This window comes from Homo sapiens, chromosome 4, assembly GCF_000001405.40.
Source record: "Homo sapiens chromosome 4, GRCh38.p14 Primary Assembly".
NCBI lineage: Eukaryota > Metazoa > Chordata > Mammalia > Primates > Hominidae > Homo > Homo sapiens.
In genome coordinates this window covers 82,640,063-82,667,779 of record NC_000004.12, presented here as the reverse complement: position 1 = coordinate 82,667,779, position 27,717 = coordinate 82,640,063, and the positions used below count along the sequence as shown (strand labels likewise).

Genomic DNA, 27,717 nt, shown 5'->3' with positions numbered 1-27,717 from the left:
AAAAAAAATTGAGAATAAATTATTTTTTTCCTTTGAATAATTCTCCCTGCATCCAGCTGTAGTTGGCAAAAATTAAAATTCTGAATCTTCCAGTTTCAAGAACTTGGTAAAATCAACTAAAGAGGTGTGAACTGTGTTTAATTCGATACCTTTTGTTAAAAGTAAATGGAAAAGGTAAAATATCCTTTAACTACTTTTATTAAACTTTTGGCCTTTCTAAAGAGACATGGTTGTTGTAGCCAAACAGCTGAATTATATTCTGGGATACAAGACAGAGATGATTCAACATTGAGGTTACAGCATCAACACCAAAATTTCCCTAATGTAGTGGTTAAAATATTGGGTGGGGGAAAAATCAGTGTGGTACATAATTCAATAGCTTTTTATGAGTTTTAAAAATTTTCCAAGTCAAAAATGTCAATTTTTTTTGCCTCTGTAAGAGGTACTTTTCCTAGTAGAGCTTTAGGAGAATTTGCATGCGTGCGTGCGTGCGTGTGTGTGTGTGTGTGTATAAAAATACACCAACTGCATTAGCAGTCATTTTTCTTTCCCCACTTTGACCATCCCATTTCTATGTGCAAGAAATTCCCCTGGCAAGATGAGGAGACAGTTGCTCAAATTTCTGGAACCTGAGTACTTCACTAACTAGCATGGTAAACATATTAATCAACAGGTGTCAATGGATTCTGGGACTGCTGTTTGTAAATATTAACTTAATTGTTGATGGCAATAAAGGCATCCTCATGCATCTTTGATTCACTTCAGTAGCCAATAATAGCTATTATTTTTTTAAAATATGTATTTATTTTCCCCTAGATTGCTATAGTTGCTATTTATTAACTGCTTACTATGTACCTGCATTATGTCTTTACACACATTGTCTCTTATCCTTTCGATAACTCTGTCATGTAGATAGTGGTACCTGGAATCTGGACTTGAATTCTAAATCTTGGCTTCCCATAGCCTTGATTAACCAAGTCAAAAGAAGAACAGTATATGTTTGCACTAAATTATTCTTTCTTTAGTAAAATGCTACTTTACTACCAAAGCTAAGGAGAAAACCTAGCTAGTTTTTATGCAACATTTAAATATTTATGTAGAAGTTAAAGCAAGGTTAAATTTTACAAAGATCTTTTGATGCAAGTAGATACCATTCTCACTAATATTTAGATATTATCGATTCCTGGTTCTCTTTCTAGGCTATGTAGAGTAATCTTTTAATCTACACTGGACATTTTCTTTCTTTCTTTCTTTCTTTTTTTTTTGAGACGGAGTCTCGCTCTGTCTCCCAGGCTGGAGTGCAGTGGCGCGATCCGGCTCACTGCAAGCTCCGCCTCCCGGGTTCACGCCATTCTCCTGCCTCAGCCTCCCGAGTAGGTGGGACTACAGGCGCCCGCCACCACGCCCGGCTAACATTTTCTTAAAATAAAGAGACTTTCAAGGAAAGTGTATGGCTGTAGCTCCAGGGCGTCACCCAGTAATCAACAGTACTTATAAAAGGTTTTTATTCAATCGTTATTCATGTTCTAAAGAATTCAATCTATTATTATTGGTTTATGCATCAGAGAAAACAGCTCTTCTTGCCTTTTTAGTGTCTCTTCTTTTTTCCCATATGGTAAGACATAAAAAGTAGAGAAAGTTTTCATAACAGAAAATTCATTTTTAGTTATTATTTCCTTTAACAATTAGCTTATAAAATTTCTATAACCCCGCAGCTCTTGAAATCTGTATAATATAAACAAAATATAAGAATAAAATTACACTTTTTAGCATAAAATGTAATATAGGTTCATTGTAGAAAAATTTTTAAATGCAAATCAGCATCAAGATTAAAATGAAATAATTTGTAATCCTTCCACTTAGAAAAAAGATCAGTTAAAATTTTGCTGTATATTTTTCTAAAGTTTTTTATGTATCAAGCTAGCTTTTTAAAAAAGTATGCATATCCTATATCCTATGTAAAAGTGATTAAAGTAAGAAATATAATTTAATATTTACCTTTATTATTTCATTTCCAGCTTCTTTATTTTTGTATGTGTGTATCCTAATTTCCACTTGATATCTTCCTTCTGCCTGAAGAACTTCCTTTATATTTCTTGTAACACAGGTTTATGGGCAATAAATTCTCAGCTTTTGTTTGTCTGAAGGTCTTTATTTTACCTTCATTTTTTAAAGGTATTTTTACCAGACATAAAATTCTGAGTTGTCAGGTTTTTTCTCTTGGTATTTTAAAGATGTCAGTACCTTGTCTTATGCCTTACATAATTTTTGATTTGTATCATTGTGTGATATGTATTATCCCTCTGCACGTAATGTTTCCTTTTTTGTCACTGACTTCAATATATTTTATCTTCAGTTTTCAGCAGTTTGATTGTGATGTATCTAGATTCATTTTTTTTTTAAGGAGAGAGGTATTCTTGGGACTCTGGGCTTCTTAGATCTGCAACTTTTTGTCTTTCATTAATTTTGGAAAATTCTTAGCCATTATATTTAATTTTTTTAACCTGTTTCTCTTTTTCTTTGGAACTCTTTTTTTTTTTTTTTTTTTGAGACAGGGTCTCATCACTCAGGCTTCAGTGCAGTGACATGATCATAGCTGCTAACTGTAGCCTCAAACTTCTGGCTCAAATGATCCTCCTGCCTCAGCCTCCTGAGTCGGACTACAGGCACATACCACCATGCCTGATTAAATTAAAAAAAAAATATATATATATATATGTGTGTGTGTATATATGTGTGTGTGTGTGTGTGTATTATACATATATATATATATATATATAGAGAGAGAGAGAGAGAGAGAGAGAGAGAGAGAGAGAGATGGGGTCTTGCTATGCTGCCCAGGCTGGTCTTGAACTCCTGGCCTCAAGTGATCCTCCTGCCTTGACCTTGGCCTCCCAAAGTGCTGAGATTACAGGCATGAGCCACAATGCATGGCTTCTTCTGGGACTCTAATTACATTTTATTTTAAAGCATTTTATGTTGTCCCACAGATATTGGATGTGCTTCACTCCTTTTTATCTTTATGTTTTGGCTTGGATAATTTCTATTGGCATATCTTCAAGTTTACTAATTCTTTCCTCAGTTATGTCTAGACTGCCAATGAACCCATCAAAGGCACTCTTCATTTCTGATTTTGTTTTTATTTACCAGATTTGCATTAGACATTGATAAAATCTCCCATCTGTTCATGCATGTTCACCTTTTCCATAGATCCCTTTAACATGTTCATTGCAGTTACTTTAAAGTCCCTACCTGATAGTTGTAATATCCAGGCCATTTCTGAGAATGGTTCTATTAATTACTTTATCTCTGGACAATGATTTTTGTTCCCCCCCCCTTGCACTTTTGTGTGACTCAATTTTAATTGAATGCTGAACATTATTTCTGTAAGAACAGAAAGACCAAGGTAAATATTATTTATGCTTGAGCATGGGCACATCTCTTTTTCTTTCAGACCTTCAGTATGTGTGGGTGGAAGAGGTTGGGGTTGGGTCAATTAATCAGAAGTTGAGCTGAGTTTAGATTTTACTGCTGCTATTATTATCCTTAGTGCACCACAGACTTCACTGGATGGCTACCCTTACTACGTGCTTAGAGCCTGATGTGCCAGAGGAGTTTTCTAAGTATTCATTCTGTACCCTCGGCTTTTAGCTGTCCCTGCACACCTGTGTCACAAAGTAGATCTTTCCCTATGCTCTTGCTCCTACACAAAGGGTGGACTTCTGTTGTTTGTGTCTCTGTGCATGGCTGTTTATAAGAGTAGAGGGTTTCTTCATTGTTCTGGTCCAGTATCAGTCTTAGGCAACGCTCCTGTGCCTGAACCTTGGGGTCAAGGGTTTCTTAGCATTCCTGCAGTAGCCAACCTCTGCTGTTGAGCAGTGCAAGATCCTGGGCACAAGCAGGTTTCCTGCTCTTCCTCAAAGGGGCAGAAGATTTTTGCTTCTGTCTCTCCCTCAGCAGCAATGTTTCTTTGCCTATGTCTGGGGGTGAGGGTTTCCCAACACCTCTCCCAGAGACAAACAATTTTGCTTCAGTTGCTCTCCCAGAGCAATATACTTTTGCCCAGTCCTAAGGGCCAGAAGGTGTCTGTATTCCTCCAGCAGCTTAAACACATTTATGCCTAGTGTTCCATTATTGGAACGGTAAGCATGTGGGAGTTATTTATATCCTGCTGCTCAAGGTCATCACCAAGGTCTGATTGCAAAAATTCAAAAACTTGCAACCTCAGGCATAAATGGGTTAAGATTTTGCTTTGTAAGAGAGGGCCCTGGGGAAGAAGGCAAGGCTTTGTTCTTGTTGCCAGTAGCAGCTGATCAGCTCCTGCATGTCTATGTGGCAGAGGGGGTCCTGGGTCTCCACTCTACCCTGTCCCCAACCTTCCTTGTGAGCACCCAGTTAGGGGCCCTAAAGAAAAGCTTGAGTGTGAATACAAACTCTTTTGTGTCCGAGGCTTGAGGCTATCCCATATTGACCTTCAAGAATTTTGTTAAATTTTTAGCTGACTTCTTCTTATCTACTTGTGTGGTAGCCATCTCTTTCTCCTTGCTTTGACAAAAGTGAAGCCATTCATATTCATGTGTACTGTCTCTCCTTGGATGGGTTTATGACTCTTTGGAATTCAGATTACTTAGTTGCCTTGTGACCTTAACTCTTGATGAGTTAAAGAAAAGTTATGGTTGTGTATATTAGTTAGCTTTTTCTCATTGTCGAGGTGACAGCAATATTCCCTAGTGACTTTCTACATCTAAGCAGACACAGAACTCTGCATCCTATTTTATAGTCTGCATTTTTCATCTAACAGAATACTGTAAAATCTTTCTAGTTTAATGGTTGCTTAATATTTCATTGTGACGATGTATCATAATTATTTTTCATGAACACTGAAGGATTTCTACCATGTGTGTTTTTTTTTTTTTTTTTTTGAGACGGAGTTTGCTCGTTGCCCAGGCTGGAGTGCAATGGCGTGGTCTCGGCTCACTGCAATCTCCGTCTCCCAGGTTCAAGAGATTCTCCTGCCTCAGCCTCCCAAGTAGCTGGGATTACAGGCACCCATCACCATGCCCAGCTAATTTTTGTATTTTTAGGAGAGACAGGGTTTCACCATGTTGGCCAGGCTGGTCTCAAACTTCTGACCTCAGGTGATCCACCTACCTCAGCCTCCCAAAGTGCTGGGATTACAGGCATGAGCCACCATACCCGGCCCCATCTTTTTTTTTTTTAACCATTATAATAATGGTATGATGATCAACTTGGTATATAAATCTTTGACCACAGCTATGATACTTTCCTTTAGCTAAAATCAGAATTGCCAAGTCAAATAATACATAGAACTCTTGGCTTTTTATACCTATTTTCATATTAATTTCAAAATCTTTGATTACAATTTTATGTTTTGGGCCATTTGTAGCATTGCCTTTTAAAACAGATAGCTGGGCGTGGTGGCTCATGCTTGTTATCCCAGCACTTTTGGAGGCTGAGGTGAGAGAATTGCTTTAAGCCAGGAGTCTGAGACCAGCCTGGGCAACATAGATCCTGTCTCTACCAAAAATAAGAAAATTAGCTGAGCACGATGGCATGTGCTTATAGTTCCAGCTACTTAGGAGGCTGAGGCAGGAGGATTGCTTCAGCTCAGGAGTTTGAGGCTGCAGTGAGCTGTGATTGAGCCACTGCACTGCAGCCTGAGTGAGTGACACAGGGAGACCCTGTCTCATAAATAAATAAATAACATACACTGTTCTGTTCACTACCCATGGCCAAAGACAAAGACACTGTCTCTTCATTTCCCTCCTTTTTTGTTGGAGAGAAAAATCTGACACAGTGGAAACGTCCCCACGTCCCTGTCCAGAACCCTGCCACCTCTCAGTGGAGGAAGAAGGTAGAATGGTCACAAAATCTGGTGTCTAGGTAGGTGAATTAACAGATGGGGTGTGTTGCGTATTTCTCATGTTTACTCTCTTCAGCTCTCTGCGCTAGGACATATGACTCCATAATTCATGAATGTCACCTTAGTGCTGGTTTACAACCTGAAAGTCTCTTTTTCTAAAGAACCTAATTAATGCTGGGCTAGAAAGAGAGTGGCATAGGAGAAAAATTTGTTTAAACAAGAGGCATCTGAAGGCATAAATGCATGTACTTAAGGCAAGACACGGAGTGATTAGCTAGAAACACATCCATTATTTTTGCTGTCCAAATTGTTCTTTCCATAAGATGATTTGTGAGGTTGATGTCCTTGTGACAGCAATTTTCTGAAAATATTAAATAAGGCTGAGTCCCTTTTAAAAATCAAGAGCATGATTCATACATATTTGTGAAATGTAAGTACCTTTTCTCTCTTACTGCTGCAAACTGCTGACAGCAATGTATTATGAGACCCCTCGTCAGTTGACAGTTGAAGTGGAAATATTGTTGTAAGTAATGAATTTGTTGATAGCTGTTCCATTACCCAGAATGAATATTTAGATTAGTCATGTGCAGGCTGTCATGTCAGAGCTACCAGGAGCTTTTCCTTTTATCTAATTTACTCTTAATTCCTCAGTCCCCATCTCACCATGTTATATCCTATTGAGTGTGTCAAGGGATGATTAGATTGAGAGATGCAAGGTTTTGTTATTGACACAATTTCTACAGGAGCACTAGAGAAATTAAACCCTTGCTGAACAAACCTGGGTGGAACTCTCAGTCATTTTCTTTATTTTTTATCAGTACACAGCACATCCAGAAAGAAGGAAGAGCTCTCAATCAAGAGGCAGCGTGTGAGATGCTTCGTGAATGGCATCAAGGGCATATATTGAAAGTCACCCTTCCCGGATTACACATTTTAGCTTTGTTACATACTCATTGTAACCACTCCGAAAAGTGCTGCTTGATGCTGCGTGCTCTTTCTGTGTCCCTGGAGGTATTCTGAAGGTCAGAAGAGAGATATACAACAGCGAGGCTTGGTGATAACGTATAGAATAACAGACGGGGACTCCACACCCAGGCCTTTTTTAACGGTGTGAAGCATAGACAGAGCTGCAGTCTGTGCTAACATTAGGTTATTTATTGATTCAATCAGTTGACACAAGGAGGCAGCTACGGGGAGGTAAAATATGGTCCTAAAATCAAAAAGATTTCAGTTTTGTCATTCTGTCTCTGAGATTCTATTTCCACATCTAGAGCAGGGTAATAATGATACCTACCTTACAAAATTATTGGGAGAATACATTAGTTAATATATGTGAAAGTATGGAGGAGATGTGCAATAAATATTTGTGTTATTAACTACACATACAGCACTCTATAGGAGATATTCCATTTATAAAAACTTTAGGTTCTAAAAACCTGTACACGTTGATTATTTTTGTAAGTCAAAAGTGATTAAGAGGAGTTTAAGCTATCATTTCCAGATGTATTTCTATAAATAAAAACATAAGTATATTCAGTTGATTTGGGGTGGAGAGTTCCATAGATGTCTGTTAGGTCCGCTTGGTCCAGAGCTGAGTTCAAGTCCTGAATATCCTTGTTAATTTTCTGTCTTGTTGATCTGTCTAATATTGACAGTGGGGTATTAAAGTCTCCCACTATTATTATATGGGAGTCTAAGTCTCCTTGTAGGTCTCTAAGAACTTGCTTTATGAATCTGGGTGCTCCTGTATTAGGTGCATACATATTTAGGATAGTTAGCTCTTCTTGCTGCATTGATCCCATTACCATTATATAATGCCCTTCTTTGTCTTTTTTGATCTTTGTTGGTTTAAAGTCTGTTTTATTAGAGACTAGGATTGCAACCCCTGCTATTTTTTTTTTTTTTTTTGCTTGATAAATATTCCTGTATCCCTTTATTTTGAGCCTATATGTGTCTTTGCACGTGAGGTGGGTCTCCTGAATACAGCACACCGATGGGTTTTGACTCTATCTAATTTGCCAGTCTGTGTCTTTTAATTGGGGCATTTAGCCCATTTACATTTAAGATGAATATTGTTATGTGTGAAAATCAACAGAATATACATTCTTCTCAACACCACATCACACTTATTCTAAAATTGGCCATATAATTGGAAGTAAAACACTCCTCAGCAAATGCAAAAGAATGGAAATCATAACAGTCTTTCAGACCACAGTGCAATCAAAGTAGAACTCAGGATTAAAAAATTCACTCAAAACCGCACAACCACCTGGAAACTGAACAACCTGCTCCTGAATGACCACTGGGTAAATAACGAAATTAAGGCAGAAATAACTAAGTTCTTTGAAACCAATGAGAACAAAGACACAATGTACCAGAAGCCCTGGGACACAGCTAAACCAGTGTTTAGAGGGAAATCTATAGCACTAAATGTCCACAGGAGAAAGCAGGAAAGATCTAAAATTGACATCCTAATATCACAATTAAAAGAACTAGAGAAGCAAGAGCAAACAAATTCAAAAGCTAGCAGAAGATAAGAAATAACTAAGATCAGAGCAGAACTGAAGGAGATAGAGACACGAAAAACCCTTCAAAAAATCAATGAATCCAGAAGCTGTTTTTTTGAAAAGATTAACAAAATAGACTGCTAGCCAGACTAATAAAGAAGAAAAGGGAGAAGAATCAGATAGACACAATAAAAAATGATAAAGGGGATATCACCACTGATCCCACAGAAATACAAACTACCATCAGAGAATACTATAAACACCTCTACACAAATAAACTAGAAAATCTAGAAGAAATGGATAAATTCCTGAACACATCCACTCTTCCAGGACTACACCGGGAAGAAGTCGAATCCCTCAATAGACCAATAACAAGTTCTGAAATTGAGGCAGTAATTAATAGCCTACCAACCAAAAAAAGCCAAGGACCAGAGGGATTCACAGCCAAATTCTACCAGAGGTAAAAAGAGGAGCTGGTACCATTCCTTCTGAAACTATTCCAAACAATAGAAAAAGAGGGACTCCTCCCTAACTCATTTGATGAGACCAGCAGCTCCTGATACCAAAACCTGGCAGAGACACAACAAAAAAAAGAAAATATCAGGCCAATATCCCTGATGAACATTGATGCAAAAATCCTCAGTAAAATACTGGCAAACCAAATCCAGCAGCACATCAGGAGATCAAGACCATCCTGGCCAACATGGTGAAACCCCATCTCCACTAAAATACAAAAAAAAAAAAAAAAAAAAAAAAAAGCCAGGTGTGGTAGCACACACTTGTAGTCCCAGCTACTCAGGAGGCTGAGACAGGGGAATCACTTGAACCTGGGAGGCAGAGGTTGCAGTGAGCTGAGATGGCACCACTGCACTCCAGCCTGGTGACACAGCAAGACTCCATCTAAAAAAAAAAAAAAAAAAAGCTTATCCACCACAATCAAGTCAGCTTCATCCCTGGGATGCAAGGCTCGTTCAACATACACATATCAATAAACGTAATCCATCACATAAACAGAACCAATGACAAAAACCACATAATTATCTCAATAGATGCAGAAAAGGCCTTCAATAAAATTCAACACCCCTTCATGCTAAAAACTCTCAATAAACTAGGTATTGATGGAATGTATTTCAAAATAATAACAGCTATTTATGACAAACCCACAGCCAATATCATACTGAATGGGCAAAAGTTGGAAGCATTCCCTTTGAAACCAGCACAAGACAAGGATGCCCTCTCTCACCACTCCTATTCAATGTAGTATTGGAAGTTCTGGCCAGGGCAGTCAGACAAGAGAAAGAAATAAAGGGTATTCAAATAGGAAGAGAGGAAGTCAAATTGTCTCTGTTTGCAGATGACATGATTGTATATTTAGAAAACCCCATCATCTTAGCCCAAAATCTCCTTAAGCTGATAAGCAACTTCAGCGATGTTTCAGGATACAAAATCAATGTGCAAAAATCACAAGCATTCCTGTACACCAATAGTAGACAAACAGCCAAATCATGAGTGAATTCCCATTTGCAATTGCTACAAAGAGAATGAAATACCTAGGAATACAACTCACAAGGGATGTGAAGGACCTCTTCAAGGAGAACTACAAACCACTGTTCAAGGAAATAAGAGAGGATACAAACAAATGGAAAAACATTCCATGTTCATGGATAGAAAGAATCAATATTGTGAAAATGGCCATACTGCCCAAAGTAATTTATAGATTCAGTGCTATCCCCATCAAGCTACCATTGACTTTCTTCACAGACTTAGAAAAAACTACTTTAAATTTCATATGGAACCAAAAAAGAGCCTGTATAACCAAGACAATCCTAAGCAAAAAGAGCAAAGCTGGAGGCATCACGCTGCCTGACTTCAAACTATATTACCAGGCTACAGTAACTGAAACAGCATGGTACTGGTACCAAAACAGATACACAGACCAATGAAACAGAACAGAAGCCTCAGAAATAATGCCACACATCTACAACCATCTGATCTTTGATGAACCTGACAAAAACAAGCAATGGGAAAAGGATTCCCTATTTAATAAATGATGTTCTGAAAACTGGCTAACCAAATGCAGAAAACTGAAACTGGACCCTTTCCTTACACCTTGTATAAAAATTAACTCAAGATGGATTAAAAACTTAAATGTAAGACCTAAAACCATAAAAACCCTAGAAGAAAAACCTAAGCAATACCATTCAGGACATAGTCATGAGCAAAGACTTCATGACTAAAACACCAAAAGCAACGGCAATGAAAGCCAAAATTGACAAATGGGATCTAATTAAACTAGAGAGCTTCTGCACAGCAAAAGAAACTATCATCAGAGTGAACAGGAAACCTACAGAATGGGAGAAAATTTTTGCAATCTATTCATCTGACCAAGGGCTAATATCCAGAATCTACAAAGAACTTAAACAAATTTACAAGAAAAAAACAACCCTATCAAAAAGTGGGCAAAGGATATGAACAGACATTTCTCAAAAGAAGACATTTATGAGGGCAACAAACATATGAAAAAAAGCTCATTATCACTGGTCATTAGAGAAATGCAAATCAAAACCACAATAAGATACCATCTCATACCAGTTACAATGGCGATCATTAAAAAGTCAGAAAACAACAGATGATGGACAGGGTGTGGAGAAATAGGGACACTTTTACACTGTTGGTGGGAGTATAAATTAGTTCAACCATTGTGGAAGACAGTGTGGTGATTCCTCAAGGATCTAGAGCCAGAAATACCATTTGGCCCAGCAATCCCATTACAGGGTATATGCCCAAAGGATTATAAATCATTCTACTATAAAGACACATGCACATGTATGTTTATTGCAGCACTATTCACAATAGCAAAGACTTGGAACCAACCCAAATGCCCATTTATAGGCTGGATAAAGAAAATGTGGCACATATATACCATGGAATACTATGCAGCCATAAAAAAAGATGAGTTCACATCCTTTGCAGGGACATGGATGAATCTGGAAACCATCATTCTCAGCAAACTAACGCAGGAACAGAAAACCAAGCACTGCATGTTCTCCCTCTTAAGTGGAAGTTGAGCAATGAAACCACATGGACACAGGGAAGGGAACATCACACACCCTGGCCTGTTGGGGGGTTGTGGGGGGATGCTAAGGGAGGGATAGCATTAGGAGAAATACCTAATGTAGGTGATGGGTTGATGGGTGCAGCAAACCACCATAGCACGTGTATACCTATGTAACAAATCTGTACATTCTGCAATGTATCCCAGAACTTAAAGTATAATAATAATAATAATAAAATATATAAGTAGTCTTATCAAAGCTTTAAAACCAGGAGTACTTGTCTTTTCCCTACATTCTATTAAACATTTTCCCCTATTGTGGACCTTTGATGTCTACAGTGTTTTCATTTGCCACCCACTGACCAGCTGATGTTCTGCTGATTTGGGTGGTCTCTGAACCCAGCAACTTGGAACTCAAGGAGCCACCCTTGGCTTACAGCAGACATGTCAGCAACAGCTGTTTCACTGTGCTTAGGCTTAAGTTCCCTTATAAACTCCTGGCCTTCACCAACATTAGCAAAATGTAGGCCCAGAGGGTAATGATGATATCTATCTTACAAAATTATTGAGTGACTAAATTAGTTAATACATGTGAAAGTTAATTGTTGCTAACATTTAGCTCCAGTCTCAAAAAGTTTCCTTTTTCATTTTGCCAATCCCTGTTCCTTCCTCTTTGATCACTATTCACTCCTTAGCCTTAAGAATTCTTCCTGCTGTGCCATGAGCCCCCTGCAACACTTGGCATTCTCTCATGACTTCCAGTTTGAAAAACTATTTTTACTTTTGTTTTCATCCTAATTATGTGCATCTTTTTAGCAGCGACTTAAAGACACTCACTACTTTTATACTTTTGCAACTGGTGATGTTACTGCTGTTCATAAAATATCTCAGAACTTTAGCACAAACCTAGCTAACACACCCCTGACTAATGAACAGAGTGTGGCCAAATGCTTGCTTGTGGCCACTAATACCATCTGCTGGTGATAGGTAAAAAGGTTAAAGCCTTTTTCCACCTTGCTTTGTTCATACCTGTGAACTTCCTTAAATGGAAAATTTATAAGTAGAGGTATTTCCATAATGAGGGGTATGGAAGATACAAAGGGAAAAAAAGAGAGTCCTTGCCTTTATATATCTTGTAATTTAATTGGGAAGAAAAGGCACATGCTTATGAAATAGTCAGGGACTCCCAAATTTGTATACGAAAGTGACACTGTAGTAGATGAGGATATTAAGAACCAAAGGGGATTCACAATTTCAGAGGGAATGTTAAGATGAGGTCCTTGAAGAAGTCTACATGAAGTGATGGTTCTTTCTGACTGGCATGGTGAGGGCCTTCTCTTGACGGCTCTCATTCTTCAGGAACAGAGTTTATTCTCAGTTAAGACTTCTTTTATATATCTCAGTAAATGTTAAAAATTCTCTATGTGTAGGTCTTACATGTTTCTTTTTTGGTTTATTTCTAGATATTCTACAATTTTTGTCATTATTATCAACAGGAATGGCTGAATTTTTATCACAGACAGTGAGAGGGACTGTGAGTGGATGCCCAGACATCCAGCCTTCCCTCCTAGGTATCCTAGGCTAACAGCGGGAAGTATCACATTGACCAGACAAGTTGCAGAGTGCCACTGGGAGCCACCTACCTGGAGAGGACTTTATCTATGTTGTTGCCCACGGGCATGCTGGCCAGAGGCAAGGGGTCCTGATGGAGAGCCAATGTCTAGATATTTGATGTAATCCCACCTTGGAAATTAGAAGTTCACATTCTCCCCTTTTTGCTTTGCTTAAAGAAATGCTTTCACGCCTTCAAAAAAAAATGTTTTATTTAAAGTAAAGCATAGGCTAGCTCCCTTCCTGGGGAAAGATATCTAACTGCAAAGGGTAGTCTAAGAGTCAAATTCTTAGTCTAAAATATGAAAATTACAAAGAGTAAAAGGGATGAATTCCCAGTGAAATAGAGACCAAAGAAATCATTGTCAACCTACCAGCTGAAGAAAATTCTTGTCAGAAATTGGCTTTGGACAGGCTCCCTGTCCAAGTCACTTACTTCTCTTCACACTGCCTGTTTTCCTATAAAACAATAATAAATCTGTCACACAGATAAAAAGATCCTAGTGCTGAGATAATGTGATTTGTTGAAACATGCTCATTCACTTTGGGAGGCCGAGGTGGGTGGATTACCTGAGGTCAGGAGTTCAAGACTAGCCTGACCAACATGGTGAAACCCCGTCTCTACAAAAAATACAATAATTAGCCAGGGTGGTGGCAGACACCTGTAATCCCAGCTACTTGGGAGGCTGAGGCAGGAGAATTGCTTGAACCTGGGAGACAGAAGCTGCGGTGAGCCCAGATTGTGCCATTGCACTCCAGCCTGGGTGACAGAGCAGGACTCCGTTTGATTAAAAAAAAAAAAAATACTCATTGACTCAACTGAAGTGTGAGGACTCTTCTGCCATTTGACTTTCTTTTATAAACCTACTCTTATCAGTCTTCCATTTTAAAGAAGAGAAAAACAATTACTCAGATGTCCTAACTATCAAGAGATTTGGAGAAACTATATACATATATGGTTCTTAGCTGGGCATAATTTGAAAGCCTATCTATCTATATCTATCTATCTATCTATATCTATCTATCTATCTATCTATCTATCTATCATTGACTTTCAAATTCTGCCCAACTAGTTCTGCCCCACTAAGAACATGGATTTTTGTGATAATGAAAACTTTCTCTTACAAGCAGAGGGCCAATATTTGCTATAAAGGACTGAGAGAGCTACATTTCATATGTGACTGTAATAACCAACATTTTAGGGGGAAAATGTGATGTTAAGAGTCTTAGAATCCCAGGTGGTAGTGAGGGGATTTCTGGATCCTGAAGGTCAAGTGTTTCCAGAGAAAAAGAGGAATAGAGATTAGGAAACACCTTCTAATGTGGGAGCTCGGGCAGGGAGAGAGTCTACAACTGTGGTAGCTCTATTTAATATGATAATGCATTTCTTTTTCTTTGTGCCCTTTGCGCCTTTGCTGTTTATTAACTGCACCAACTACCAGGAAAAGAGAAGAGGGTGTGGGGGACCAAGATTTAAACCATTCAAACTTCATATTGAAAGTTTGGTTACAGTTGTATTAGAAGAAGGGATAATTAACTTGAGGGGTCTGAGGTCTTTCTCTTTTTCTGGAAACAGGGTTTCACTTTGTTGCCGAGGCTGGAGTGCAGTGGCATGAGCAGGGATCACTGGAGCCTCCACCTCCCAGGCTCAGGCGATCCTCCTGTCTCAGTCCCCCCAAGTAGCCAGGACTACAGGCACGTACCACCATACCCAAGCTAATTTTTGTATTTTTAGTAGAGACAGGGTTTTGCCATGTGTCCAGGCTGGTCTTGAACTCCTGAGCTCAAGGGATCTGCCCACCTCAGCCGCCCAAAGTGTCGGGACTACAGGTGTGAGCCACCACACCCAACTGAAGTCTTTCTCTTCTAATTGTCACCAGCATCTAATGCCTTGCATATACATTTAGGCAAAACATTTACTTTGAAGTGATCCCCCTCAGGTACTCTTTCAGAATCTTTTTACTCTTGAAAATTTAAAGTTCTAATAAGCCCAGTATAAGTCTACATCTAGTCTTAGAATAATAGTAACAGCTTCTAGTTGTTATTTTTTATAATTTCTATAACATTCTTTATCATGTTGATTTTAGTGTATCGAGGACCTACTGTGCACCAGACACTTTTATGTGCATATGAAATTCCTCTTCCTTATCTCTATGCATGGTAGAATCTGAGGCTCTGAGAAGTTGACTTAGTAATATTTTGTAAGTGGTAGAATTGGAATCTGAACCCAACTCTGTCTTGGTCCAAAGTGCATACTCTTTCTACTGAGTTACACTGTCATAGTACTTATAGGGAATAATGTCTTTCTTCTTCCTCCACTTCACCCTATTGCCTGCTTACTTTGCTGGTATATTTTATATTTTACTTCATTTCTGAGTTATTCAGAATAAGAAACTGTGCTTGCTTAATTATGAGTCAGAGCTGTCTCCTGCATAAAACCTTTTAACAACTTCCTCTTGGGAAAAATTGCAACTGTTATTTCAATGCCATGGCCACAGTTACCCTATCTCTTGGTACTTCTGTTTTATACCTCGCTTCCTACTAATGCCATTCCCCGCACACTTCAGGCTATTTCGTGACACTGTGCTTTTGCTCATGTTTCTTTGGCTTAGATCCTCACTCCTCGAAGTGTAGTTCCAGGACCAGCAGCATCAGTGTTACCCAGGAGCTTGTTAGAAAGGTGGAATCTCATGCCCCACTCCAGACCCCAGGTGATTCAAATGCACAGTAATGGTTTTGAGAAGCACTGACTTAGAATGTTCTTATTGTTTTTTACCTAGCCAATTTTTTCTTACATTTTAATTATGTTTTGTTTTGTTTTAGCTCTTGTCACCCAGGCTGAAGTGCAATGGCACAATCTCAGCTCACTGCAACCTCCGCCTCCTAGGTTCAAGCGATTCTCCTGCCTCAGCCTCCCAAGTAGCTAGGACTACAGGCTTGTGCCACCACACCTGGCTGATTTTGTATTTTTTGTAGAGACGGGGTTTCACCATGTTGGCCAGGCTGGTCTCAAACTCCGGACCTCAGGTGATCTGCCCACCTCAGCCTCCCAGAGTGCTGGAATTACAGGCGTGAGCCACCACACCTGGCCAATTTTTTAATTTTTTATTTCAATCGGTTTTTGGGGAACAGGTGGTGTTTGGTGACATGGATAAGTTCTTCAGTGGTGATTTCTGAGATTTTGGTGCACCCATCACCCAAGCAGTGTACACTGTACTTAATGTGTAATCTTTTATCCCTCACCACCCCCCACCCTTTCCCCCAAGTCCCCAAAGTCCAGTGTATCACTCTTATGCCTTTGTGTCCTCATAGCTTAGCATCCACATGAGTGAGAACATACGACGTTTGGTTTTCCATTCCTGGTTACTTCACTTAGAGTAACAGTCTCCAATTCCATCCAGGTTGCTGTGGATGCCATTATTTCTTTCTTTCTTATACCTAGCCAACTCTTATTCATTCTTCAAAACTCACCTTTAAGAAGCTAAGGTCAGTAGTTCTCAAAATATAGTCCAAAGAGTCTTGGTCAGTGGGTCCCCAAGACCCTTTCAGAGGGTCTGTAAGGCCCTCTTGTCCAACTACCATCTGTGTGAGACAGACTTTCTTCATAGACTTCAACCAAAACAACATATTGCAACAGACTGCCTGCAGCATCAGATAGGTGAATCCAGCTGCCTTTCATAAAGCCAGACATCCAGAAGATCTGCAAAGATACCACACAGTGTCATTCTTCACACTAAATATTTTTGTTGCATTGAAAAATACAGTTATTTTTCCTAAAAATATGTAATTTATTTACCATGTAATAGGTTTATTATTTTAATGAATTGATATATTTAATATTAATTTTATATTAACAAATATGCATATATTTTATATGTAATCTTATATATAATTAACATATATTAACATTTGATATTTAATCAATTAATAAAACATTTCCCAGTTTTAATTTCCCATACAGTAAATAGCAATAGCTCTAACCCCATGAACAAAAGGTCTTTGGCATTCTCAATAATTTTTTTTTTTTGACACAAGTTCTCACTCTGTCACCCAGGCTGGAGTGCAGTGGCACACTCATGGCTCACTGTAGCCTCAACCTCCCCAGGCTCGGGTGATCTCCTGCCTCAGCCTCCAGAATAGCTGGGCCCACAGGTGTGTACCACAATGCCTGGCTAATTTTTGTATTTTTTGTAGAGACGCGGTTTTGCCATGTTGCCCAAGCTGGTCTTGAACTCCTGGGCTCAGGTAATCCACTGGCCTTTGGCCTCCCAAAGTGCTGGGATTACAGGCATGAGCCACTGTGCGTGACCTCAAAAATATTTTTTTAATGTAAAAGGGTCCTGAGACCAAAGAGCTTTGGATCCATTTTCCTGGGGTGAATGAAGTGCCCTCCTTAGCAGGTCTGTGATATCATGGGCATAACTCACCGTTATGCTTATCATTTTATATTAAAATAATCTGCTCATAGAGCTCTCTCATTAGACTATAAGCTTCATGAGGACTATGTCCTATTCATCTTTCTATTTACTGAGCCAGTTGAACTACCTAACAACCCCTCCCACTCCCATCAAAAAATAATTGAGGACTAAGGAGTGTGTCTACTACCTAGTTTATAGAGAGCACTAGACAACCTACGGCTGAGACCTACAGCTTTAGCAGGGATGAAGTGTGCATAATGCTGAAGGAAGCAGCACGTGGACATCACCACTCGTGGAGTTTCATCCCCTCAAAGTGTGTTTCACCAGCCTGGAGTTCTGTCTCCCGGGATGAGGCAGGGAAGCTCTGTGAGCACACTGTCCATTCATGCACAATCACGCCAGACGAACAGTAATCTCCAGTATTCATGCTGCCTTCAAAGGCCCGGTGACCCTCAAAGATACAGGGAGAGAACTACCTACAAAGATGTGGATGTTTCAACAGGAGACCCATTTGGCCATGTCTGCTGTCAATAACCTTGGCCAACTCCAGTGTAAGAGGAGGAAGGCATGGGTCTTCCCTACACCAGAATCCCATGTTGTCAGAACAAATTCTACTGCAAGTAGCAGTCTGAGACTTGATGAAGACCTACCTCTGCCCTTTGGACACCCTGACAGCCCCTTGCATGGAAGACATGATAAAGGTAGTCTCCTAAGGGCACACACAGCTCACCTTCTATTCAGAATCCAGCCACAGAATCCTGTCAGTGGTGGCACACAGGATGGAGCAAGGCCCTAGGTAATGCCCCTCTGAAAAATGTTTGCTGCTGGGAGGTACCCATACAGTATTTTTAGCCAATCCAAATATTTTGAACACCTTTATTTTACCAGTGAAAATTCATTTCCCTTATTATAATTACAAATTCTTTAGGGGTGATTGGAGATAAAAATAGTTGAAGCCTTGTCACAGACCTCTGGTACGTGAACTGATTAGCTTGTCAGGTGCTCACTAAGCATACCTGAAATGTGGATTTTTTTATTACAGTACTTCATATGTTAATGAACTGCCTCTAAGGTGAAGAATCTCACACACACACACACACACACACACACACACACACACACACCCCTCTCACCCTATTTATGCTGGAGAATCTTCAAGTAAATCACAAGCAGTATAACAATGTCATTAAGTTCAAATACACATAGTGGAGTGAAAACTAAATGTAGTAGTGTCTCACTACTCAGCTATCTAGTAATTTCATTTAACTGGAATAAACCAAGGACCTGTAAATAAACAAAGAGAACCATTATTAGACACTATATGCCAGAATGATATACATTTTTGCATGGAATCCTCGAAACGCCAAAGCACATGTTCCATCCTGTACCTCCATAGAAAGAGATCTTCGAATCAATGTCATGATCCTCATAATTTTGTACTCTTAGTCTCGGCACGACCGACTCCTTCAGGTCTCACCGAGAGCCCATGTGTTCTTGATTTACACACAAATTGAATAGTCTTAGTTGTCTGGTTTTCAAACCCTTCACAGATAAAGAGAAACAAGTTAGAAGGAGCAAAGAAGCAACTGCTGGTGGCAACACTGACAAACAGAAATGACAGCTGCTCAGGGTAGACCTGAAATTAAGGGATGGGCCAGCAAAATTTAATAAGTAAATATAAGGACCCAGTTCTTACAGTAACTGACTCATATATAATGACTCAGACAAGACCGAGACTCCTACCTCAATCGACCCTCTTGGAAACCAACACAGAGCATCCACTGTTGTTTCTCGAGATCATGCTCATGCCATGAGATACCTCTTAGGCACCACTGCACACTCTCTCTGGACTTCCTCTGTCCTAGGGCATTTGGCCATTTGCTCTGAGCACCTCTCTGTGCACTCCAACTGGCTTTGGTAGGTTCATCCCAACACACCCTCTTCACACCTGCGTGTGTGGGCCTCCTGCCTTGGGACTTCTCTGTTGATGCTGGAGCCTGAGACACCTCTCAGCCTCCAGGTTTGCAATCCAGAAGTTTGCATGTGGTGGAGGGGCTGGGATGAAAGGTGGGAGCTGGTGAGACATTCTTCCCCCAAACATCTCCCAGAGGGAATGTCCTGAGGTTCAGTGGCTCAGATGGCCTCTTGGAAGATGGTCCAGCCCGACTGAGATAGCAAATAGTGGCCAGTGCAGTAACACACTGTCCTGTTAGCTGCCTCACCTCCCCTGCCTCCCACACTCTCTTTTCGTGGACTTGAGCTTTGTTTATAAAATAATAGCACATAAGCTTTTGCCTCGAGTCCTGCCATCTGGGGAACCCAGGTTAAGACATTCCTCACTATCAAGGAAGGTCAAGTTTGTTTCATAAACTGTGATTAAGAGGGCAAAAAAAATGAGTAATGATTTCCATATACAATTTATGTATTTATTTTCTACTCCTCTTACTATCATTCCCAACATAAACAATTTTTTTAAAAGTCCGGGTAATTGAACATGTATATCTTCAACTAGGAAGAAAACTCAGCTACTTAAAATGATTATCTTCCGGAGTTTTTACAGCACGGTTATACTGAAGGGACATCAAATAATGCAATAATCATAGTTGAGAGGAGATCTATCAGGGTAGGCTGTCTGGAGCAAATCAATCTTGAGCTGATTTCTGAAGACTAGAGAGCTTGAGGAGGACAATGCAGCTTGAATACAGGAAGGGACCCACGTAACCTTTAGAGCACATTGTTGTGCACAAGGGTCATATCTTTTACAGGAGAAATGAAGAAGCTGTGTTATATCAGCCTGTTCATTTTTACCCTCAACAAGAAAAATCGTCAGCCCATCTAATCCATTCAGCTACCTCAGCTGATATTGATCATGACGGTGGCTAAAATAACTCCATTGGCTCTTTTCCCAAATGGAGGCTGATTGGCTGCTGGTGTGTAGCTTATTATTGAGTTGTTAAAGAGTTTTGGAGTTAAACTTGCTCCCTTGAATGGGGTGGAGGATTGTACTCTGTCTGTTGTCCTTTCAGCACAAGATCTACATATATGTAGGCTAAAACAATCAGGGGAACACACTTGCACACATACGTGAACACACAGGCACATACACACATGTATACATGCACTACTATCTAGTGTCACTGTCATTCCTTTACAATTTTTGCTACCAAAAAAAGTAGAGATGGCTGAGTGTGGTGGCTCACACCTGTAATCTTAGCACTTTGGGAAGCCAAGATGGGTGGATCACTAGAGGCCAGGAGTTCGAGACCAGCCTGGCCAACATGTTGAAACTCTGTCTCTACTAAAAATACAAAAAAATTAACTGGGCATGGTGGTGCATGCCTGTAATCCCAGCTAATGGGGAGGCTGAGGCAGGAGAATCACTTGAACCCAGGAAGCGGAGGTTGCAGTGACCCGAGATCACACCACTGCACTCCAGCCTGGGTGACAGAGCGAGACTCCGTCTCAAAAGGGGGAAAAAAGCCAAAGCCAGAGAAAAATATCTTTTCTCTGCTGCATTTCAAGGTTCTGAAGAAGATGCTTTTGTGAAGCAGTGGTCTGCCCTCTGCTTCCTCCACAGGGGAGGAGATGCATCCAGAAGATGCAGGCCATGCATCTGGATGATCCAAGTGAAAGGTTTTCTTCTACAGAACGCTTATCATGGAGTAGCACAGGGGAGGAGATGTCAAGACTAATTCAGGGTCAAAGCCAGCTCTAGAGTAGTTCGATTACAACTTTCAGAGAATACTTCAAACAAAGCAATCCTAAGTGCTTTCACTTAAAGACACTGCACACAGGAGAGAGAAAACCCATTTTCAACTTAAACAATTCAAAAAGTTTGGAAGATTTTCGGCGACACTCCACAGAGCTACCCCAAAATGGGCCTCCATTTTCAGATGTGCATCCAAGTGCATCACATATTTCAATTCCCTGTGGGCAATGCCAGAGGAGACAAAGGAAGGGGGAGAGAATGTTCCATGCATTTGCAAACTGTCAGGGCATATCATTTGTCCTCTAAATAAGTGTTTACTAAGCATCCACATGATTTTTCCTTGTCCCCTGCAAGGTGCAAAAATTGTAGGGAAAATGAATTTCTGGCCAGGCTTTAAGTGAAATAAAAATCCAAACATGTTAAGTCAAGATGCCAGGAACAGCTCATCACTCATCATTACAGTGCATTTGTGGGGCTGTAATTTCTTTCTCACCCGTTGTGGTGTTTGCTTCTTTTCACATTTCCTCAGGCTGGCCCCCTTGGAAGTCGGCAGGTCATTTCCCCCCCTTCATGCTCTAATAGATTTCACTCTCAAGATCTCACACACCACCAGCTCTGGACTGCTGTGTTTAGGGTTAGCAAAGCAGTAGGAAAACGCTTGCAGACAGAGAACGGTGATTTCTTTTTCATCCAAAGAAAAATGAGAGTTTGAAGATGCTTATCACACCCAGATTTGGGGAAATAAAAAGAAATCCCAAATCCTTTCTTCTCCACAAAATACATTTTTTGTTTCAAGACTATTCTTAGTGTTTCAGTTCTCTTTATTGATCCAGTTTATTGGAGCTGAAGTAATTGAAAAGTTAGTACCCATATCTGGATTTGTGTTCTGTGACCAAGGCTTACTTGGATTGGGGCGCTGTTGTGTGCAATGGCATTTGATTGTGTAAAAATGGACTCCTTGTCCAGAATTAAATGCTGAGGAACGTCTTCCCAATTGTGGTATTGGTGCGATGAGAATTTGAGAGGGGTGGGTAGTGGAAGGGCTTACAGCATCTGTTGTGGACCTGTCCTTGTCAGTTGTCACCTTCAAGCTATAGAATGCTGCTCTAGAAATAACCTGTAAAGTGAGTTTGACTGCTTTTGCCTTTATGTTTTTGACAAATATTTGGGTCTGTGTTCTCAAATCTGTGGAGGAGAGCCACTCTATTTCTTGGGTCGTTCTTGGGTTGATCCCACCCCTTCCCTCTAGTTCTTCCTCTTTCTTTTGCCTTTTTTTTTTTTCTTGAGACGGTCTCACTCTGTCACCCAGGCTGGAGTGCAGTGGCACAATCTCGGCTCACTGCAATCTCCACCTCCCGGGTTCAAGCGATCCTACTGCCTCAGCCTCTCTAGTACCTGGGACTACAGGTATTCACTTCCACACCTGGCTAGTTTTTGTATTTTTAGTAGAGATGGGGTTTCACCATGTTGGCCAGGCTGCTCTTGAACTCCTGACCTTAAGTGATCCTTCCACCTTGGCCTTCCAAAGTGCCGGAATTACAGGTGTGAGCCACCGGTGCCTGGCCACTCTTTTGCTGTCTTGATGAGTTTAGGCACCTTCTCCTATCCCAGAGTCTGAGTGTTCATAGATAGGCAGAGAGGAAGTCACTCACATTCCAAACCAAGACCGAACCTGTTAGAGTGGTTGTTAATCTTAAATATTGTCAACATTTTACAATAATTGGAAGCTCAGGGAATGACCTAAAAGCTCATGCTCAGAAATTGTTCATTTAAACTGGGGGTAGAAACCCTCACAGTGAAATCTGTTGATACCAGGGATTGGGTCCTGACGAGCAAGAATGTCTTTAATTAAGTTCTTGGCTTTATGTGCACAATCCTACATGGGCACCAGTCCAAGAGGTAAGCATCTTATGAAGAACCCAAAAGCAGTCTGCACAGTTATTGCATGATTGTGGTTTTTGGGAAACCTTGGGATTGTATCGTACTCCTTGCCTTACTGAAATCACTGTAGTGTTTTTATTTTCCTGGGAAACCAAGACTCATCATTTATTAACCAAAATATCATTCAGTTAGTCATTCCACAAATATTTAGGAGTGCTTGTCATGTGGGATTCTCTCTGTGAGACCTTGGAGAGTTGGCCTTTCTGCTGAATTCTGCCAGCCCAGCAGTGTATCCATGTCATAGTTCTGGTTACCTTAGAAGCTGGCTCTGAGATGGAGATTACATTGTAGAAAGTTTACTGGAGCAGGTCCTTGGGATCAATACATGTGGAAGAAGGGGCAGAAGCAAGATGGGTAAAGGGGAGAAGCTGGGCTTTGAACAGTCTCAGTGGAGACATTCGTCAGCCCAGTGGGGACCAGGCCTGGACAACGGGCTTCTCTGGTCAGTCACCGATGTGCAGTCATTAGGGGAGGGGCATGACCTCAGGCAAGGCAGCTCTCCATCAGAGGCAGCACTGTCAGCTACTGGGAGAGTAAGTCCTTTAATCCTAAGTGGGGACCTGGGTGGCACATCACAATGTCCACTACGGTGTGCTAAGATGCTTTTAGCTACTCTACAGAACATCTTGACTCAACTGGCTTCAACAATAGGACATCCTTGCATCTCAAAGTAAGACACCAGGGATAAAGCACCTCCAGGATTGGTTAGTTCAGTGGCTCAACAGCTTATCCAAGGAGCTCTCCATCCATCTGCTCTGTCAGCCTGAAGAGGCAACTTTGCTTCTCAGGCTTCTTCCTTTCATAGTCACAGATGGCTGTTGCCGGACTGGGTGTCACTGCAGGAAAGAGAAATGATTTCTGCCCCTGTGCTCTTTCTATTGTTGAGGAAGATATTTCCTTGTATTTCTCTTTCTTTATTGTGGTGAAATATACAAAAGATAATATTAATCATTGTAACCTCTCATAAGAGTGCAATTCTGTGGCATTAAGTACACTAATGATACTGTATAACCATCACCACTATACAGAAAACTTTGTCATCATTCCCAATAAAAACTCTGTTCTCATGAAATAATAACTTTCTCTTCACCCCCAGCTCCTGGTAATTTCTGTTCTCTTTTCTGTCGCTATGAATTTTCCTGTTGTAGGTGCCTCAAGTATAAGCATACAGTATTTGTCCTTTTTGTCTGGTTTATTTTACTAATCTTAATGTTTTCAAGGCCCATCCATGTTGCAGCATATATGAAAATCTTATTCCTCTTCATGGCTGACTAGCATTCTATTGTATATATGTACAGCATTGTTTGTCTACTCATCCACTGAATAATGTTGCTACCAACATGGGCATACAGATATCTGTTCATGTCCCTGCTTTTTATTCTTTTGGATATATACCTAGGAGTGAAAATCTGGGTCATATGATAACTTGATATTTAACCTTTGGAGAAACCATCAAACCATTTCCTGCAGTGGCTGTGCCACTTCACATTCCTCCATCAGTACCTGAGGAGTCCAGTATTTCTACATCCTTGCTAACATTTACTTCCCTTTTTTAAAGGTATGGCCATCCTTCCCCTCCAGTCTTATTGGCCTCTATCATGTCACATGCCCACTCCTAAATTAATTATTTGCAAAGTGAAGGATATTACCAAAATTGCCTTAAACCAATCAGGACCAGGGCCCTGGGTAGGGTCTACATTACCCTAAAGGACATGGCTGCAAGGAGGACAGTTAGATACCTGAACAAAATCCAGACATTCCAGCCAGAAAGAAAGGATGGGACGAGGAAGAATAAAGGGAAGCTACCATCAATGTTTGCAACAGGGTGGCTTTAAAAATAGAAATGCCCAGACCAGAGATTCTGATTCACTTGGTCTGCAGCAGTGGGTGCTCAGCATCAGTCACTTTTAAATGTTCCCCAATTTATTCTAATGTGCAGTCAGGGCTGCGAGCCCTGATCTAGCAGGTTAGGCTGCCCGTTAAGCCAGCTCGTGTGAATACTGAGAGATGAGAAGGACAACATGCTACAGGAATGCTGTGCAGTGCACCTCGCCTGGGGGACTGATGAAAACCCCTGAGAGGAAGTGATGTTCAGACTGATGCTTGGAAGAGGCAAGTCAGCCAGGGCTGGGGAAGAGTGTCATAGACACGGGACAGTATGTGGTTCAGTTTAAGAAGAGGAAGAAGCTCATTCTGTCTAGAGTGTACACAGTATCCACTTCAAATCCTGAGGGGACAATATTTTTACTCAAATATATGCAACTTATGGGGCCAGGTCTATGTTCAACACTCCAGCCGCGTTTATCTCTGGGTAAGTTTCCCTCTCTGTGTGCCATGTTCTTGGTTGGCTGAGTGAGCAGCAGGTTATACTAGAGGCATCAGACATTCAGGGTTTAAGAATTGAGTTTGAAACCTGCCCATGCTGTATACAACCGGTGTGGCTGTGGGGAAGGCCCAAGACATCTCTGGACCTCTGCACAGGTCCTGCAAAAGAGGTTATAAAAACTACATCATAGGGCCATTATGGAACTCATAAAAAAAAATGTATGTGAGCAACATCATAAATATGCTGATGAGTTGCAAACTTCTACTCCCGTCCCCATCTCTCTCTAGGGCACATCTCAACTCCAGACCTATATGTTGATATCCTCTACCTGGCAGCCCCATTTGGATGTATATTGGGCATCTCCCTCTTACCGTGTCCAAGACAGAGCTCTTCATATGCCACTCCTCCTCCATTCTCCCCTACATCGGCTTAGGGCATCTTAATCCTTGGTGTCATCCTTGACTCCACTCTTTCTCTCTAACATGGAGTCTGTTAACAAGTCGTGCCACTCTACTTTAGAAATATACCCAGATTCTGACCATTTCTCACCACCTCCATGACTATCCAGGTTCAGGCCACCATATTCTTTAACCTGGATCATGTGACAGCCTCCTATGAGACCCTCCAAACTTGATCCCCCATTATTCCTACTTTATCTCCTACAACCCTCCCTCTTGTTCATCTGCTCCAGCCCCAAGTCTCATGCAGCCCCAGTCTGCATGGCTTCAGGGCCTTGCTATTTGTGGGTACCCCTGCCCCCAGTTAGCCAAATGGCTAACTTCTCACTTCCCCAAGTCTTTAGTCAAAAACCATAGTGTCAGCAAGCCCTCCCATAGACACCCTATTTAAAATTTCAGTGCCTGCCCTTAATATATCATATTCTCCTTCTCTGCTTTTTTTCTTCCTGGTATTTACCACTAATGTGCTCTACAATTTGCTTATTTATATTGTTCATTGTCTTCCCTGCCAGAATATACCAGATATATAGATCTCTGCCAGTATACCCCTGCTCCACAAAGCCAGGGATTATCTGTTTTATTCACCTTCTTTTTTTTTTTTTTTTTTTTTTTTTTTTGAGATGGAGTTTTGCTTCTTCGCCTAGGCTGGAGTGCAATGGCATGATCTTGGCTCACTGCAACCTCTGCCTCCCATGTTCAAGCAATTCTCCTGCCTCAGCCTCCCTGTAGCTGGAATTATAGGCATGAGCCACCACGCCCGGCCTTGTTCACCTTCTGTCTCAGTTCTAGGGCATGTAGTAAGCACCCAATACATTTATTAGCACAGCATTTTACAGAAGAGAAACCTGAGGCTCAGTGTGATTAAATAATTCATTCAAGGTCACACAGCTAGAAGGCGTTGTGTAGTTGAATGTTCTGTGGTGCTTTTCAACAACAGAAAACCCATTTAGCAAAAAGACAGGGCAGCATCAATGACTCCTCTCCAGCCCTCCTCCCTATCACCAAATGACGAAAGGAAATCTCTAAAATGAGGAAGGAGTAGGTGCAAGAGGGCGTCGTGGAGTTGCTCTGTGGCCCCTTGGCCAGACCATTCATGTTTGAGTGTTATTAGATGAGGAAGCTGGGGAGCCATCTCAGTGCTTCTTCTGAAGCACAAAGGCCAGTGACTGTTATTAAAAGGAGACCAGCTGCTCGAGGCTAAAAGTGCACAGGAGGAAGGGATACTCCCTACTTGGGAAAGATTTGCTAAGTCGGCTTGAGATAGTCAGGGAGGATTTTTAGACTGTGTTCAGCATCCAGACCCATCTCACTGGCTATCCTACCCAGACTTACTGTGCCCCCTAAAAATTCCTTCTTTCATCCATTCTACTGAACATACAAAGAGGAATCCTAGCCGATTACAGGGAAGACAATACAGAGAATAACCCCAGAAGTAGATCTCTGCAGCATCATTGGAATGAGGACAGTGATTTTTTTTTAAGAATGTCTTTTTTGAGGAAGAGGCAATGTGCCTGGACCATAGTGGTTCTAGTTGGGGAAGCCCGGGCCTTTTCCTCCTTACCCCTGGGAAACCACATCGCTAGTGCTGTCCGTCCACAGGGACCCACCCACTTGGCAGGGTAGAGCTTCTAGAACCAGAGCCAAGGCAGGCAGGAGACTCTTTAAACAGTTCAGAGGGAGGAGGCAGGAGCAGGGTCTGAGTGGAAGCTGGGTGCTGCAGGCTGTGGTCAGACCAGAGAAGGCCGATTCCACAGGACTGGGGTCAGAGAGCAGGGGTCAGAGAGCAGGAGCCAGAGCGGGCCTCGGCC

General features: G+C 41.0%; 1 protein-coding gene across 2 annotated transcripts in view, besides 1 other annotated feature; it reads left to right on the top strand.

Moving 5' to 3' along the window:
* The window catches only part of SCD5 (stearoyl-CoA desaturase 5), a 169,258-nt gene that overhangs the window by 131,017 nt on the left and 10,524 nt on the right, over positions 1-27,717 (top strand). The window contains exon 4 of one of the 2 annotated variants that reach the window (NM_024906.3): positions 6,703-7,893. The exons of the other annotated variant lie outside the window; for it this stretch is intronic. Within the exon in view, the coding sequence (NP_079182.2) occupies positions 6,703-6,904 (202 nt within the window). The 3' untranslated portion in view covers positions 6,905-7,893. Of the gene's footprint in view, positions 1-6,702; positions 7,894-27,717 lie in introns of those variants that run through there. 2 annotated transcript variants of the gene reach the window in all.
* Positions 27,203-27,702: an enhancer, noted in NCBI's record as "H3K4me1 hESC enhancer chr4:83561231-83561730 (GRCh37/hg19 assembly coordinates)". NCBI's record gives its function as "activates a minimal SCP1, AML or CMV promoter by ChIP-STARR-seq in naive H9 embryonic stem cells {active_cell/tissue: H9 hESC(naive)}" and the evidence as "EXISTENCE:reporter gene assay evidence [ECO:0000049][PMID:30033119]".